Source organism: Homo sapiens, chromosome 5, assembly GCF_000001405.40.
Source record: "Homo sapiens chromosome 5, GRCh38.p14 Primary Assembly".
NCBI lineage: Eukaryota > Metazoa > Chordata > Mammalia > Primates > Hominidae > Homo > Homo sapiens.
This window is the reverse complement of record NC_000005.10, coordinates 77,807,875-77,811,530: the sequence shown is the minus strand read 5'-3', so window position 1 is coordinate 77,811,530 and position 3,656 is coordinate 77,807,875. Positions and strand designations below refer to the sequence as shown.

The following is a 3,656-nucleotide window of genomic DNA, read 5'->3' as shown; positions in this document are numbered from 1 at the left end:
ATCCACAACGGTCTCTGAACCCACTCATCAGAATAGTTGCGCTCACCAACACAGCAGCAGAAACCCTAATTTTCCTTTAGACCACAAAAAGGAGTGAGGAAGATCGGATTTAGTGGCCCTTACTGACGCACTCTCAAAAACCTGTTAGAGTCCTTAGTGTTCTCCTGTTAGTACTGGGACCTTACCCCTGTCCTATAAAGATGTTATGCCCCAAAAATGAAGTGGAGGGCCATACCCTGAGGGAGGGAAGGGATCTCCAGGGTTGGAAGAGTGTCTTTTGTCCTCATTTCTCATCATATGAATAGGAAGGATATCATTTCTGAGGCTCTCCATATCCTAGCTTCAGGAATAGCTTTTGTTAGGCCTGTTAGTCTGAGGAGGGATCCTAAAGTTCCAGATAGTCCCCCACTGGCTCCTGATGGGGCTTTGGGCAAAAATTATGTCTTTCTGATTGGTGAGCCCAGGTTCCTAAAGAAGGGAACAGAGTGCTGAAGTTTATACTAGAAATCATTCTTATAGGAGAAACTAGTAAAGCACCAGAAACTGGGAGTTGTTTTTAGAAGTGGGACTAGCCTCAGAGAAGAGAGTTGGGAGGAAGTTTGTCTGACAGGCATTAAGACCCAGGAGGCAAGGGTCAGGATAGATAGGATAGATGGATGAGTCTCGGTTGGGTGACGTGACTTTGAGAGTTCTGCTCATGACTACAGGGTCAAGCAACAACCAACTTTTTGTCGGGACCCCGGAGCTGAATGGCTTTCTTCTCTGTCGACCCTTGGTTCAGCCCAGAAGTACAGGAAAAGCGGAATCTGGTTCCAGGAAAATCAACACTCCCAACTCTGAAGAGTCCGGGGTTGTTAGAGAGCCCTTCCCAGAAAGGCTGACACCCATTTCTTTAGTCCGGCGGCCATGCTAGTGGCTTTTAACTGGTTGATAGGTGCCCGGTGTTGAGCCCCCGAATTCTAAGGAAAAATAGGACAGAATAGCAAGTGAAAGAGGTCCAATGGTACTCACTGCTTGGCAATAGTCCCTTCGTGGTCGCCAAGATGTGTCCAGAGTTTGTTCCTTCTGGCGGGATCTTGGTCTCACTGAATTCAAAAATGAAGCCGCGGACCTTCACGGTGAGTGTTACAGCTCTTAATGGTGGCACGGACCCAAAGAGTGAGCAGCAGCAAGATTTGTTGTGAAGAGTGAAAAAACAAAGCTCCCACAGCGTGGAAGGGGACCCGAGTGGGTTGCTGCTGCTGGCTGGGGTGGCCAGCTTTTATTCCCTTATTTGTCCCCGCCCACTTCCTGCTGATTGGTCCATTTGGCAGAGTGCTGATTGGTGCGTTTATAATCCTTTAGCTAGACACAGAGCACTGATTGGTGCATTTTTACAGAGCACTGATTGGTGCATTTACAATCCTTTAGTCAGACACAGAGTGTTGATTGGTGCATTTTTACAGAGCACTGATTGGTGCATTTACAATTCTTTAGCTAGACACAGAGCACTGATTGGTGCGTTTCTGCAGAGTGCTGATTGGTGCATTTACAACCCTTCAGCTAGACGCAAAAGTTCTCCAAGTCCCCACTTGACCCAGGAAGTCCAGCTGGCTTCACCTCTCAGTAACAAAGTAAGTGATTATGTAGCCACCATCCAAGATAACAAGTAAAACATTGCTCTCCATATGTTCTTTCCCAATATTGTGCCTCTCTTCCCTGCCAGGACTAACAATTGGGCTAATGTTTGAGCAATCTTTTCTTTGCCATTCTTTTGAAGTTTTACCATGTTTGAATATATCTCTCCAAGATATAATGTTTAGTTTTTTTTTTTTTTTTTTTTTTTTTTTTTTTTTTTTTTTGAGACGGAGTCTGGCTGTCGCCCAGGCTGGAGTGCAGTGGCGCAATCTCGGCTCACTGCAGGCTCCGCCCCCTGGGGTTCACGCCATTCTCCTGCCTCAGCCTCCCGAGTAGCTGGGACTACAGGCGCCCGCCACCTCGCCCGGCTAATTTTTTGTATTTTTAGTAGAGACGGGGTTTCACCGTGTTAGCCAGGATGGTCTCGATCTCCTGACCTCGTGATCCGCCCGCCTCGGCCTCCCAAAGTGCTGGGATTACAGGCGTGAGCCACCGCGCCCGGCCCTAATGTTTAGTTTTGTCTGCTTTTGAAGTTAATATAAATGCAAACATGCTGTCTGTGATTGTGTGTAATTTGCTTCTTTTGCTCTACATTGTCTTTGAGATTCTTCATGTCAATGTGTGTAGTTTCAGTTCATTCATTTCTACTGCTGTATGATACTCATGCATTCTACTTTGATGAATATTTGGTTATCTTTTTTTGCTATTATGAGCAATGCTTCTAAAGCATACTTATTCACATTTACTGCTACACATATGCAAGAATATCTCTTGGGTATAATCATAGAAGTAGAACTATAGAAGTAGAACTACTAGCTTAGCATATGTTCAACTTTTCTAGACAATACAAACATAAACTGTTTTCCAAAGTGATTTTGCTAATTTACATTTCAGTCTATGAGAGTTTCATTTGTACCATATCCTCATCAGTAAGTGAAATTGTCAAACATTTTCATTTTTGCTAATCTAGGGTACAGAATGGTATCTTATTGTGCTTCTAATAACAGTTTTATTGAGATACAATTCACATTTCATTGAATAAAATTTCAGGGATAAATCCTCATATATCAATAATAACTTTGAATGTAAATGGATTAAGCTTTCCACTTAAAAGATATAGACTGGCTGAATGGATTTTTTAAAAATATGACCCAAGTTTATGCTGCCTACAAGAAATTCATCTCACTTGTAAAGACACACATAGACTGAGAGTAAAGGGATGGAAACAGATATTCCATGCAAATGAAAACCAAAAGCAAGCAGGAGTAGCTATACTTAAATCAGATTAAACAGACTTTAAGTCAAAAACAGTAACAAAAAATAACAATAAAAAAGGTCACTATATAATGAGAAAGAATCAATTAGCAAGAGGATGTAACAATTCGAAACATATATGTACCCAATCCTGGAGCACCCAGATACATAAAGCAAATATTTTTTGTTTTAAAGGGAGAGATAGACTCTAATACACTAATAGTTGGGGACTTTGACACCCGCTGTCAGCATTAAACAGAATCTAGACAGAAAATTAACAAAGAAACATTAGATTTAAACTGTACTTTAGACTAAATAGACCTAACAGACATTTGCAGAACATTTCACCCAACAGTTATGGAATACACATTCTTCTCATTGGCATGTAGAACATTTTCCAGGACAGACTGTATGTTAGGACATAAAATAAATCTCTACAAAGTTAAAAATATCAAAATTATATTAAGTATTTATTCAGACATCAATGGAATAAAAATAGAAATCAGTAACAAGAGGAACTTTGGAAACTACAAATACATGGAAATTAATCATGTTCCTGAAAGACCACTGGGTTAAGGAAGAAATTAAGTAAGAAATTAAAAAATTTCTTGAAAGGAGATATAGCAAAAGCAGTGCTAAGAGGGAAGTTTATAGCAATAAGCACCCACATAAAGAAAGTAAAAAGATTTCAAATAAACAATCTAATGACCCACCTCAAACTAGGTGTAAAAGGAGCATACCACAACATAATAAAGGCCATATATGACAAATCTGCAAGTAACATG

General features: G+C 40.8%; 1 annotated feature.

Moving 5' to 3' along the window:
- Positions 741-1,940: an enhancer, noted in NCBI's record as "BRD4-independent group 4 enhancer chr5:77105415-77106614 (GRCh37/hg19 assembly coordinates)". NCBI's record gives its function as "activates an origin of replication core promoter dependent on BRD2, P300/CBP, MED14 and CDK7 cofactors, and independent of BRD4, by STARR-seq in HCT116 cells {active_cell/tissue: HCT116}" and the evidence as "EXISTENCE:reporter gene assay evidence [ECO:0000049][PMID:35650434]".